This window comes from Homo sapiens, chromosome 12 (genome assembly GCF_000001405.40).
Source record: "Homo sapiens chromosome 12, GRCh38.p14 Primary Assembly".
Classification (NCBI taxonomy): domain Eukaryota; kingdom Metazoa; phylum Chordata; class Mammalia; order Primates; family Hominidae; genus Homo; species Homo sapiens.
The window spans coordinates 93,254,550-93,267,830 of record NC_000012.12 but is presented as its reverse complement, the minus strand read 5'-3'; the positions used below and the strand labels follow the sequence as shown (position 1 = coordinate 93,267,830).

At 40.1% G+C, this 13,281-nt stretch overlaps 1 long non-coding RNA gene and 2 other non-coding genes across 3 annotated transcripts in view, besides 1 other annotated feature; 2 read left to right on the top strand and 1 right to left on the bottom strand.

Moving 5' to 3' along the window:
• Positions 1 to 13,281, top strand: part of LOC643339 (uncharacterized) — a 373,979-nt gene that overhangs the window by 109,906 nt on the left and 250,792 nt on the right. The gene's annotated exons all lie outside the window — the stretch shown is intronic.
• On the bottom strand, positions 1,735 to 1,814 carry LOC124900325 (small nucleolar RNA SNORD74). Its single transcript, XR_007063629.1, has one exon. It is a non-coding gene; the product is annotated as a small nucleolar RNA SNORD74 (small nucleolar RNA).
• On the top strand, positions 2,099 to 2,202 carry LOC124903102 (small nucleolar RNA U13). Its single transcript, XR_007063639.1, has one exon. It is a non-coding gene; the product is annotated as a small nucleolar RNA U13 (small nucleolar RNA).
• Positions 6,852 to 7,052: a silencer, noted in NCBI's record as "peak1893 fragment used in MPRA reporter construct". NCBI's record gives its function as "represses an SCP1 promoter by STARR-seq MPRAs in K562 erythroleukemia cells {active_cell/tissue: K562}" and the evidence as "EXISTENCE:reporter gene assay evidence [ECO:0000049][PMID:32103011]".

Here is a 13,281-nt window from a genome sequence, read left to right as displayed (position 1 = left end):
TCTTCCTTCTGCTAGCATTAGGTTTTGTTTGTTTTTTTTTTTCTAGTTTCTTATTTGTAAAGTTAGGTTGTTGATTTGAGAACTTTCTTATTCCTAAATTTAAACATTTATAGCTATAGTTTTTCCTTTTAGCACTGCTTTTGCTATGTCCTGTAAGTTTTAGTTGGTTGTGTTTTTGTTTTTGTTCTTCTGTAGTTTCAAATTTTTGTTGCAATTTTTTCTTTCATCTATTTGGTTTTTCATTGTTTTTACTGTATTTATTTTTATTTTATATATATATTTTAAAAATAGAGGTGGAGTCTAACTATGTTGTCCAGGCTGGTCTTGAACTCCTGGGGTCAAGCGATTCACTTACCTTGGCCTCCCAAAGTGCTGGGATTATAGGCTTGAGCCACTGCACCTGGTCTTTTGATTATTGATGCATTGTTTAATTTCCACAAACTTGGGAATTTTCCAGTTTTACTTCTGTTATTGATTTCTAACTTCATCCTATTGTGCTTAGAGAAGATGCTTTATATAATATCTATCTTTTTTTTTTTTTTTTGAGATGAAGTTTCGCTCTTGTTGCCCAGGCTGGAGTGCAATGGCATGATCTCGGCTGACTGCAACCTCTATCTCCTGGGTTCAAGCGATTCTCCTGCCTCAGCCTCCTGAGTAGCTTGGATTACAGGCATTCACCACCACGCCTGGCTAATTTTGTATTTTTAGTGGAGATGGGGTTTCTCCATGTTGGTCAGGCTGGTCTTGAACTCCCAACCTCAGGTGATCCACCCACCTTGGCATCCCAAGGTGCTGGGATTACAGGCATGAGCCACTGTGCCAGGCCTATAATATCTATCTTTTAAAATGTATTGAGACTTAATTTGTGGCCTAACGTATAGTCTATTCTGGAAAATGTCTCATGTGCTTCAGAAGAATGTATATGCTGTTGTGTAGAGTGTTCTGTATATGTCCGTTAGCTCTAGTTGGTTTATTATGTTGTTTAAGTCCTCTCTCTCCTTACTTATCTTCTGTGTGGTTGTTCTATCTGTCATTATTATTATTATTGAGACAGGGTCTTGCTCTGTTTCATAGGCTGGAGTGCAGTGGCACGATCACAGCTCACTACTACCTTGACCTCCTGGGCTCAAGCAATCCTCCCACCTCAGCCTCCTGAGTAGCTGGACTATAGGCATGTACCATCATGCCCAGGTAATTTTTTTTTTTTTTTTTTTGGTAGAGACAGAGTGTCAATATGTTTCCTAGGCTGGTCTCAAACTCCTGGGCTTAAGCAGTCCCCCCACCTTGGCCTCCCAGAGTGCTGGAATTACAGTTGTGAGCCACTGTGCCTGGCCATGTTACTAAAACTTTCTGAATCTCAGATTTTTATCTATAAAATGAGAATGTCCACAGATATAGGACTGTTGTAAAGATGAAATTAAATAAAATATTTGTAGCAGGTAAGATGGTTTTGGCTATAAGAAACAGAAAACTCCATTCAAAATTTACTTCAATGTGAAAATTCACTATCCCACATATTAAGAAGTCCCAAGGAAGACCAATTCCAGTCTTGGTTAGTCCAGTGGCTCAAAAATATTATCAGGAATCCAGAATCTTCTTTCTTCTCTGCCATGTTTGGTGTGACGAATTTTGTCCTTAGCCAAGCCAGCTGCTCTCATGATCACAAAATGGCTGCTGTAATTCCAGACATCACATGTAGATGCAAAAAAAGAGTGTGCTTTTTCTCATCTCTCTCTCTTTCCATGAGGGCCATTGGCATTCATCTACACTCTCAGATGTCTCTACTAACATAGGCTTCATCAGAGGCATCACATAGCTCTTTTCAAGAGCATAAACCCTTTCCTTTTGGAATCTCATCTTCTGCTCCCACCTCCCAGCCATGTTATACAGTCATGTCTAATTAATCACTGGCAAGAGGACTAGATCCGCCCTGCAGACCTTAAACCAATCGGGTTTTACTGCTGGGGAAACTTGGGAGACAGTCCCCCTTTCGTGACACTTGTGGGGAAATGTGAATGCTACTAGTTCAACACTGGACACATTGTACCACAGAAGGAGGGGAGATCTGTTGGGTAGGCACTTACAAAAATATCCTGTGATCCTTTTGTAGTTCATAAGCATGATAATTGGGTTTTCATGCTCATGTGTGAGCTGTACCTCCCTTAAACCTCGTTATGATGTTGACACATTACCTGTCTGACAAGGACTTTCAAAAAAACTCTAAAAAAGAAAAAAAAAAGAATAAAATAAAATAAATAAATAAGAGTAAAATAAAATAAGAATAAAGTAAAATAAAAATTTAAACATCCTGTAGATTATGTGCCAAGTGCCCTGCATAGAGCCTGGCAGCTGTGTGGGCTCCAATCTCTTCCATTCATTTGTATGAATGAGGAGAGGTGGCCCATTTTGATTAGTTAAGTTTCCAATTATGGGTTGTTTTTAAAAAGATATATTGTGATGCCTTCGTGAAACTCAAAAACTCAATGAAAAAAGAGTAAGTCTGGAAACCCTGTAAACCAGGTCCCAGGCCAGTTTTTTCAAGAGGGTTGTATAAGCGTTTTATTTTTTATTTGTTTATTTTTTAAAGACAGGGTCTCACTATGGGGTCTCACTATGTTGCCTAGGTTGGTCTTGAACTCCTGGGCTGAAGCAATTCTCTTGCCTCAGTCTCCCAAGTAGCTGGGACAACAGGTGTGCACCACTGCACCCAATGGTTTTGTAAGCCTTGACTCCATAAAACAACTTTAGTTACTTAAAAGGACTTGGTGATATACGAGTAAATAAACATAGTTTTCAAATATGACATTCCAGGCAAGTTCTTGGTTGTATAACCAATGTTTTCAATGAAATCCCAGTAAAATTAAGTCCCAGATATGTCCTTATTGCATCTACGGAAATAACTATATTGGTATGAAAAGAAGAATGTTCATTAAGAGTTTCCAGATTCTGGAGGGGTTAGGCTGGAAGAATATGATATCATTTATAAATGTTTCATTTCCATTTACAAAAACAGAGTCTACTAAATTGTTATGGGTTATAGATAAAAGAAAAAAGAAAGGGCTTCTGTATATTAAAACATCAATAATCTCACAGCTGCAGATGCTGTGAAGAAGAATAAAAATAATTTTGTAAAAAGAAAAAGAAAAAAAATCAGTAATACTCCCCCCGCCCACCATAAACTACAATCATTCCTCATCAGTTCATTTAGCCCTATGTAATTAATTCTTGTTTCACTGGATCTTGGGTTAGCATTTTCATGACTCCATTTGTTTCTTGCCTAGAGTTCTGGAAATCCTTACTCAGTTTGCTGGTATGGTCTCAAAATTGTTTAAGTGATGCCATCAGCAGCACATACCCCAAAATACCCAACATAGTCCTTTTCCACGGGTCTCTGAGACAGTCCTTTGTTGAAGAGGAAACATTTTCAAGGAAGCGTCAGAGTAAAACAAAAAAACTACCTCTAGATGACAAAAGGCTTAAAATACTGTGCTTAATGTATTACTGATAATTTTCAAAAGCAAAAGTTCTGATAAGAATTTATTCCAATAAAAATGCAACCGATAAGAAAATTTGGTTGCTTCTGTGGCATGCCAAAAAGAAAATAAAGTCGATTCAAAAAAATTTTAGATAAAATAGTTAAAAACATAATGATTAGCCCTTTTTCAAAGAAGACAGGCCAGGTGCAGTGGCTCACGCTTGTAATTCCAGCACTTTGAGAGGCTGAGGCGGGTGGATCACCTGAGGTCAGGAGTTCGAGACCAGCCTGGCCAACATGGTGAAATCCTGTCTCCACTAAAAACACAAAAAATTAGCTGGGCGTGGTGGCGGGAGCCTGTAATCCCAGCTACTCGGGAGGCTGAGGCAGGAGAACCTCTTGAACCCAGGAGGCGGAGGTTGCAGTGAGCCAAGATCGCGCCATTGGACACTAGCCTGGGCGACAAGAGCAAAACTCCCTCTAAAAAACAAACAAACAAACAAAAAAACCAAAAAAACTTACAATGATTAGCTCTATTTTTAAAGAAGACAGGCCAGGCTGGGTGGCTCATACTTGTAATCCCAGCACTTTGGGAGGCCGAGGCTGGCAGATCACCTGAGGTCAGTAGTTTGAGACCAGTCTGGCCAACATGGTGAAATCCTGTCTCTACTAAAAATACAAAAAAATTAGCCAGGCGTAGTGGCACACGCCTGTAATCCCAGCTACTCAGGAGGCTAAGGCAGGAGAATTGCTTGAACCTGGAAGGCGGAGGTTCGAATGAGCCAAGATTGCAACTGCATTCCAGCCTGGGCGACAGATGGAGATTCTGTCTCAAAACAACAACAACAACAAAAGAAGACAGTGAACGTTATATCTAATTTATAAAAATGGATGAACATAATCTTTCCAGAGAAAAAAATCTTGAGATATAACGTAATAATGCTGAAACATAATATAACATGAATTTGCTAAGTAAGAATATAACAAAAATATATCAAGAATATCAAGTAAAGAGAGTTCGTGGTCCTCAGTAATTCTTAGACATCTGTTTGTTAGTAAAATTATGTAAGTGATGTCAATCCCCAGTTGAAAACCACTGCCCTAGAAGATACTAGATTCAAATTAAATAAGTAAAGCTGTGATCAAGTTAACACTTAGAAAGCAACTGAAATTGGGCCAGGCACAGTGGCTCTCATCTGTAATTCCAGCACTTTGGGAGGCTGAGGCAGGATGATCACTTGAACCCAGGAGTTTGAGACCAGCATGGATGACAGAGTGAGACCCCATTTCTATTAAAAAAAAAAACAAAACAAAACTGAAATCATGAGTGATAACACTGTAGTGTCATTGTCTAATATGGCAAAGCAGCACTAGGGCCCTAATAAGAAGAAATGTGTCATGGACGGCGAGGACACTGCAAAGCTCTGGAAAATGCCCATATAGCGTACAGTTTCTGAAATATACTAACAACATGCAACATATACCAATTTAACCTAGGAAAGGCTGAGCATCTCTTCTGATTTCACAAGCCTTTCATGTGGTTCATCAATAGTAATCCAGCAAGTAAACCTAATTATTTCTAACACCTCTCTTTTCAAAAGGCTAAAAAATAAGTCTTTGTGATTTTCCAGGGGCCCCCTAGGAAATCTCAAAATAGCTTTAGTAGCAAAAAAAATCCTGAAAGCTTCATTTTATTTTATATTTAGAATTCCATTTTAGGGAGGCAAAAACCAGACACTGTCAGGCAATTTGAACACTATGACAGGAATCGGATCTAGGTGTCTAAAAAACTATTTGGGAGCTGGGTACAGTGGCTCACACCTGTAATTTCGCACTTTGGGAGGCTGAGGCTGGTGGATCACCTGAGGTCAGGAGTTCGAGACCAGCCTGGCCAACATGGGGGTGAAACCCCGTCTCTACTAAAAATACAAAAATTAGCCAGGCATGGTGGCATATGCCTGTGATTCTAGCTACTGGGGAGGCTGAGGCAGAAAAATTGCTTGAACTGGGGAGGTGGAGGTTGCAGTAAGCCGAGATTGTGCCACTGCACTCCAGCCTGGGCAACAAAGCGAGACTTCGTCTCAAAACAAACAAACAAACAAAAAACAAACCCAAAACAAAACAAAAACTGAAACAAAACTCTTTGGCTCCTCATTTCTAAGTGACAATAAAGTATTTAAAAAGTAAACATAGAAGGTAACATGACTGTAAGGAGGCTTAGATCTTTCCTAACTGAGAAACTTTTGTTTTCTTAAATAGTCAAGGACATAATAATAAATTCAGCATAAACCATTGAAGGCTATTCCAGTAAAACACAGAATCTTTGCTGTCTACGCCGATTACATAAGAAAAACAAAAAGCCCTTCATCTTGTAGATGAAGGCAATAAACAGTAACCAAGGGAACAAGTCTGTCAAAATTGAGCAAAATTTGACAGCTTTCGTAGCCTTTCAGACTCATTGTTTGCACAAGCCATAACCCGAGGCAAACAAAATTGTGAGAATGAGTCAATGAAACACAAATTTATATTTTCTGTAATCTTAAGTATTAAGTAGAAGTAATGGTAGCTTGTTCAATCAAGAAACCTGTGTTAAGAAGTACATGCCCAAGTAGAATTAAAATACTAGCAGGTATTATATTTAATGCTGATAAATCAGAATTTATCTAACTAATCTGATTATCAGCTAATCTGTAGCTGTTTTTATTAAACCAAAATTATTTAACTAGTCTTGGTTGCTGAAGACTTACCTAAATTATGTGAACTTGCAATCTTAAAACATTTCCATGTTACTTTCTATAAAAATTACATTGAAAATATTAGAAGTTCGATTTCCTTATTTTCTAGCAATTCTAGAAACAATCAATACAAACACTTATTTATCTCTATAAGCTAATCAGAATAGAGCTCCTTTAATTTCAGGGATTTTCTAACCCAATTTATTAATACCAACAAGAGGTGAAAATTATTATGTGATGGGGGGAGGGGGGAGGGATAGCATTAGGAGATATACCTAATGCTAAATGACAAGTTAATGGGTGCAGCACACCAGCGTGGCACATGTATACATATGTAACTAACCTGCACATTGTGCACATGTACCCTAAAACTTAAAGTATAATAATAATAAAATAATAAATAAATAAATAAATAAATAAATAAAAAAGAAAATTGTTATGTGAGATTTAAATGCCTTTCTGAATTGCAGAAACATAAGCGTGGAAACAGACAGAGGGAGCTTATAGTTTTAATTCTAGATTTTCAGTCATGAGTCAAAGTAAACATACATTTATAAAACTCACCAGTCAAAGAGCTTTTTTCCTAGTAGGTATCGAAGGGGACCAGAATATGTCACCCCAAAATATGCTACTTTAGCATAAGGATTATTTTGAGCTGAAGATAATTGAAAAATAGCAGATGCAGGAAAAAACTCCCTTCTGTTTAAAAGCAGGGCATACACATCCCTTTTTTGTAAAGTTGTCTCCCTCTTCTATATGAGGAAGAGAACTACTAGGGACAATTCTTATCACTGGAGACTCATCTGTATAACAAACCATACTAAACAACCTTACTTACCATACATTTCCTAATTTCTTACTCACCTTCCCATGATCATTTTACAGCCCCCACCCTCCAAGAAACCAAAAAGCACCCTCTTTCCTTGGTCTAATCTCTTCTCCACACCTTATCTTTCTTGTTAAGATGGTAGATAAGCTCCAAATTCTGGCGGGGTGGTGGTCTATGCCTGTAATCCCAGCACTTTGGGAGGCCAAGGTGGGCAGATCACCTGAGGTCAGGAGTTCAAGACCAGACTGGCCAACATGGTGAAACCCCATCTCTACTAAAAATACAAAAAAAATTAGCCGGGCATGGTGGCGGGCGCCTGAAATCCCAGCTACTCGGGAGGCTGAGGCAGGAGAATCACTTGAACCTGGGAGGTGGAGGTTGCAGTAAGCCGAGATTGCACCACTACACTCCAGCCTGGGCAACACAGCAAGACTCTGTCTCAAAAAAAAAAAAAAAAGGAAAAGAAAAAAAAGCAAATTCTAACCATGTCCTCAAGCTCCATTTGTTTGTGAACTCCTATGTGTGCAAATATACTTAATTAAATTTGTTTTTCTCTTGTTAATCTGTCTTTTGTCAGATTGTTTAATTTGCAGGGTCCCAGCCATTGAACTTAGAGGAGAGGAGGAAATTTTTTTCCTCCCTTGCAGTTTAAACTCTTAATAATTTGCATTCAAAATATAAAGGTGAACACGCAGAAAAGACTAACAAACCAGATTCTCTGTTATCTCTCACCCAGCAGAAACAAGTTCTATGTAAACTATTAATTCATTTGCAGAGATCCTCCGATGATCTCATCATAAAACCAAATTCCAGCTGGGCACTGTGGCTCACACCTGTAATCCCAGCATTTTGCGAGGCCAAGACGGGCAGATCACAAGGTCAGGAGTTTGAGACAGCCTGGCCAACATAGTGAAACCCCGTCTCTACTAAAAATACAAAAAGTTAGCTGAGTGTGGTGATGCGTGCCTGTAATCCCAGTTACTCAGGAGGCAAAGGCAGGAGAATCACTTGAACCCAGGAGGCAGAGGTTGCAGTGAGCCCAGATCAAGCTATTGAGCTCCGCCCAGGCAACAGCGTGAGACTTTGACTCAAAAAAAAAAAAAAAAAAAAAAAAAGCAACCAAATTCTCAACCAAAAAGGCAAACAAACTAAATTCCCTGGAGCCTTTCACCCAACAGAGACTAGATCTCTATGCGACATTTACAAAGATCATAAATGGTCAGACCCTAAAACTAATTCTCAATGGGGAATAATTTACTGGCTATAAACAAACCAAAACCAAAATTAGTAAGGGCAAAATAAAATTAGAAAAACAGAGTCAGCAAAGTTCTATTGTTCACTTCATGTTACTTGACCTCATGAATCAGGAAAATATATTTCTGTGCTTCAACTGCCCATGTGGTGCACTTTTCTGTGGATGAAGTCTACCTGGCTCTGGTCAGCAAATCCACAGGACATCTTGGTGAATCCTCTGAAACTGTTAAAAGATAACGTTCAGAAAAAGGTATTAGGTTGGTGCAAAGTAATTGCGGTTTGGATCACTACTTTTAATGGCAAAAATCACAATAGCTTTTTCCCCAACCTAATGAAATCATGACTCTTCTATAGATACAAAAATGAACATGTGCTAAAAAATTTATTTTGCTTATATGATACTAGGGAATAAGAAACATGTTATAACTGGTTTATTTGTCTGCTTGGGATGCCACAGCAAGGTATGACAAACTGGGTGGCTTAAACAACGGAAATTTGTTCTCTCACAGTTGTCGAGGCTGGAAGTTCCAAATCAAGGTGTTGGTAGGGTTGGTTCCTTCTGGGGGCTTTGAGGGGAATCTATTCTGTGTATCTCTCCCAGTTTCTGGTGGTTTTGGTGGCAATCCTCTGTGTTCCTTAGCTGGGAGACATATCATCCTATCTCTCACTTCCTCTTCACTTGGCATTCTTTTGTGTATGCATGAAGAGGAAGGTAATTTGTCTCTGTGTCTAAATCACCTTTTATTTTTCTTAAGGACACAGTCATATTATATCAGGGCCCACTCTCATGGCCTCATCTTGATCGTCTGCAAAGACCCTATTTCCAAATAAGCTCACATTCCCAGGTACTGGGGGTTGGGACATATCTTCAATATTTTTGGGGGAAGGGGACACAATTCAACCCATAGCAACTGGCTCAAAGGAAAAGTCAAAACAGCACAGGTTTTTTTTTTTTTTTTACAAGTAAAGGAATGCTGAGATGAATTGCAAATGGAGGCAAAACTGTTTTATCCATGAGTGAAGGATAGGGCCAGGGGGAGTCAATTAAATCACTACCAGATAGGACAGAAGTTATATATCTATCAGTTACCTACAACTTACGAAGATTTACAAAGTAGCTCAAAGACAATAAACATGGCTACAATCTCATAACCCAGAAGGGTATGCATAAGTGATGCATTGTTTTTTATTAAAGCATATTTTTTTCTATGCAACTATTAATCCGTTTATTTTTTTTCCATGGATTAAGTGGTCCGAAAATCTGCTCTGCATTAAGTGGTCCTGAAGTCTCACGTGTGTGATTCACTTTCTTGGAAAACTTATCGCTGGTCCAATTTCTAGCCTTGCTTCCTGTAACACTGGGAGGGAGGTTTGGCCGTATTTTCCTCACTGGGGTTGTTGGATGCTTGAGGACAGCAGTTCCCTCTAACAAGGCGTTGCAGATGCTCTCTGTTTATTCCCTGCTTGGTCTCCTCAGACAGGTAGGAAACTAGGCTTAGAGAAATAAAGGAGAAGGCCAGGTGTGGTGACTCAGGCCTGTAATCCCAACACTTTGGGAGGCTGAGGCAGGTGGATCTCCTGAGGTTAGGAGTTCAAGACCAGACAGGCCAAAATGGTGAAACACTGTCTCTACTAAAAATACAAAAATTAGCTGGGCCTGATGGCAGGTGCCTGTAATCCCAGCTACTCAAGAGGCTGAGGTGGGAGAATCACTTGAACCTGGGAGGTAGAGGCTGCAGTGAACCAAGATGGTACCATTGCACTCCAGCCTGGGTGACAGAGTGAGACCCCAACTCAAAACAAATAAAGGAGAATCACTAAGGGCTACCAGATTCATTATTACAGCTACAGGAGCTGCAACTCCAGGATGCAGTGAGCCCTTTTCAGCACTATTTATTTATTTATTTGGTTAACACTTTCTTTTATTATTGCTTTGTGTTTCTCAGAAGAATAGAGGCCTGGTGAGGGGAGGTAGCAGAGTCTTCTTGTTGAGAAATCTATGCCCAGCACCCAGATGGCCAGGAAGGGGCCAGCGGCTCTGGGCTGCTACCCTGCACCCAGAGCTTCCCAGGTGCTCTTTGGATCTCACTTGGGTCAGCACTTTATTTACAACTCTCAGTCCTCATACCTCAGCCTCCAAAATGCACATGGTATATCATTTTATGTCATTTGCTGGGCCTGTTGAAATTCTTCTCACAGCTATGTGGGCAGGAGGGAAAAGGGTTGATACAGAAAGAGGTATGCAAAGTGCCTATATCTTTAAAAAATAAAACACACTTTGGGAGGCCGAGGCGGGTGGATCACTTGAGGTCAGGAGTTGGAGATCAGCCTGACCAACATGGTGAAAGCCTGTCTCTACTAAAAATACAAAAATAGCTGGGTGTGGTGGTGGGCACCTATAATCCCAGTTACTTGGGAGGCTGAGGCAGGAGAATTGCTTGAACCCGGGAGGTGGAGGTTGCAGTCAGCCAAGATCACGCCACTGCACTCTAGCCTGGGTGATAGAGTGAGACTCTGTCTCAAAAATAAAATAAAATAAAATAAAATAAAAAATAAAGCACAAGCATGAATTTCATAAGAAAGAGTTTTAGGGACTTATAGATTCAGAGCCTCAGTAAGGAAATGTCTTTCTCCTTGATAAAAATAACTTTGGGAAAGATAAATTTAGGAATTCTCTTCCCCATGATTCAGATTCCTGACATTCTTTGGTATTTTCACTATATAGTTGCCTTTTCTTTTTCTGTATTACTTTTTTCCAGAAAGAGAAAATCTTACTGGGGAATGCCATGCCAAGCCTGAGAATGTTGAATATCCTAGGCCAAGCTCAGTAAGGTCAAAGAGCTTTCCAGCAGGAAATTCTTCTGTCTGTAATAACTGAGGCCAGTTTCATGGGATGAGGCTGGCAATCTGCAGGGAGACCAGGAGGGTCCTTTTGGCTTTTTATTTTTTCGTCCAGCTCTCTGGTTTACTCCCCCTTATTTAAGCTTTTAGCAGCTTCCCAGGCACCACTCTGCCTGGAAGTTTTCCAGGTGGATGTCCTACCCTAAATTCTCTTTTGTCATGGGCCTCTTCAGGCAGAACCCATGCTGTAATGCCTGGGCGGTCCTTGCTGTTTTCTTTCCTGTCTCTGGGTGAACTCATCTCACATGTTCCAAGAGAAAATACAAGAGAGATAGGACTCTTTCCATTTGTAAATTCCAGGCCTGCTTTCTCTCAGGCTTTTCAACTTCTTTTGAGACTTGGTGTGTGTGGTTTTGCCCAAGCAATGCATCACCTGGAACCCATGCACTTGTGTCTCTCAGGAGCTCCACACTCTTTCTCTGTCTTTGCCAGTTCCCCTCACCTGGCCCTTCTTTTTAACTTTCTCCCATTAAGTGCTGATTGTATGACCTGCACTTCGGTAAGCTCTTTAATGCATTATTTTTATGTCATCTTCCAAGCAATTCTATGGGATAGGGACAATGATTCCCAGTTCGCAGTTGAGAAAACAAGGTTTAGGGCAGTTAAATGACCTCCCCATGGTCACATGGCTAAGCTGAAGAGTCAGGATTTGAATCCAGGCCTAAGTGACTGAAAAGCTGGTATGGTTTACTGCTTGTTTATGTGCCATGGGGGAGAAACATCTGTTATGAGACTCTAGGAACAAAATACTGAATTAATATACAGTCATGTGTTGCTTAACAATGGGGATATGTTCTGAGAAGTGCATAATTGTGTGAACATCATAGAATATACTTACATAAACCTAGATGCTGCAGCCCACTACACACCCAGACCACATGGTATAGCCTATTGTTCTCAGACTATAAACCTGTACAGCATGTTGCTGTACTGAATACTGTAGGCAACTGTAACATAGTGGAAAGTGTTTGTGTAGTCAAACATATTTAAACATAGAAAAAGTACAATAAAAATACAGTATTATAATCTTATGGTACCTCTGTGGTGTGTGCAGTCTGTCATTGACTGAAAGGTTGTTATGTAGTGCATGACTATATTTTGTCAGCTGTGAAACTTTTAAGGATGCTCAAGCTGATGAAGCTGGTTTAGGATGGAGGACTCAGCTTATGGAAAAAAATGCCGGCATTCTCATAATATGATGTTTACCTCTTTTCTTTGAATTGCTCCTTTTCATAGATTTCTCTCAAAGGCTGAGACCATCTTGATTAGTCTTGCTGAATGCAAAAGCTTACGTGATTTCCTGGAGATCAGACTTTTAATAAATTCTGGTAGGGCTGGTCTTGGGATAAATTTAGAAAAATATGAGGTTTGATCTTTGAGGCACACATCTCTCATTTTTGTAACTCTTTTTCTCTTTAAAATAAACCCACCTACCCAAATTCCCATACTAATCTCAGGGACTTGTGGCCATGACTTCTGCTATTAGGGAGAGAATTTATCAGATAAAACCATTCACTTGACTTAATGAGTCATTCTTCTGAGCATAAAGGAACACTTCAAGAGACTGATTTGAGTAATAATAAAACTCCAGTCTCCTGCACAGCTGGCTCTGTGTAAACTACTTTTTCTCTATTGCAATTCCCCTGTGTTAATAAATTGGCTCTGTCTAGGCAGTGGGCAAGGTGAACCCATTGGGCAGTTACAAATTTGGGGGCTTGTCCAGGATAGCCCTTGTGGCTAGCTGCCCATGGTTTGGTAGCCTGCCTCTGGCAATGGATCTGGAGGTCAGCTCAAGTGGCCACCTAATTTTCTTGGACAGTGGGTGACTCTGGCACCGTCTCTTCCAGTTGGGCACTGCCAACCCAATGTGCATGGATTTAATTGCAATGGAGAAATAGTCCTCAGGAGACATCTCATAACTGAAGCCCTGTCACAGGGTGTCTGTCCATAGCTCCATGGCGGGGTGCTGTAGCCAGGTCATGGAGTGTCTGTAGCTATAGCCCCATTATGGAGTATCTGGGTTGGTGAGTATCCTAGGCACTGCCAATGTCTCCTTCCTTCTCCTGACTGGTTCTGTAACCCCATGG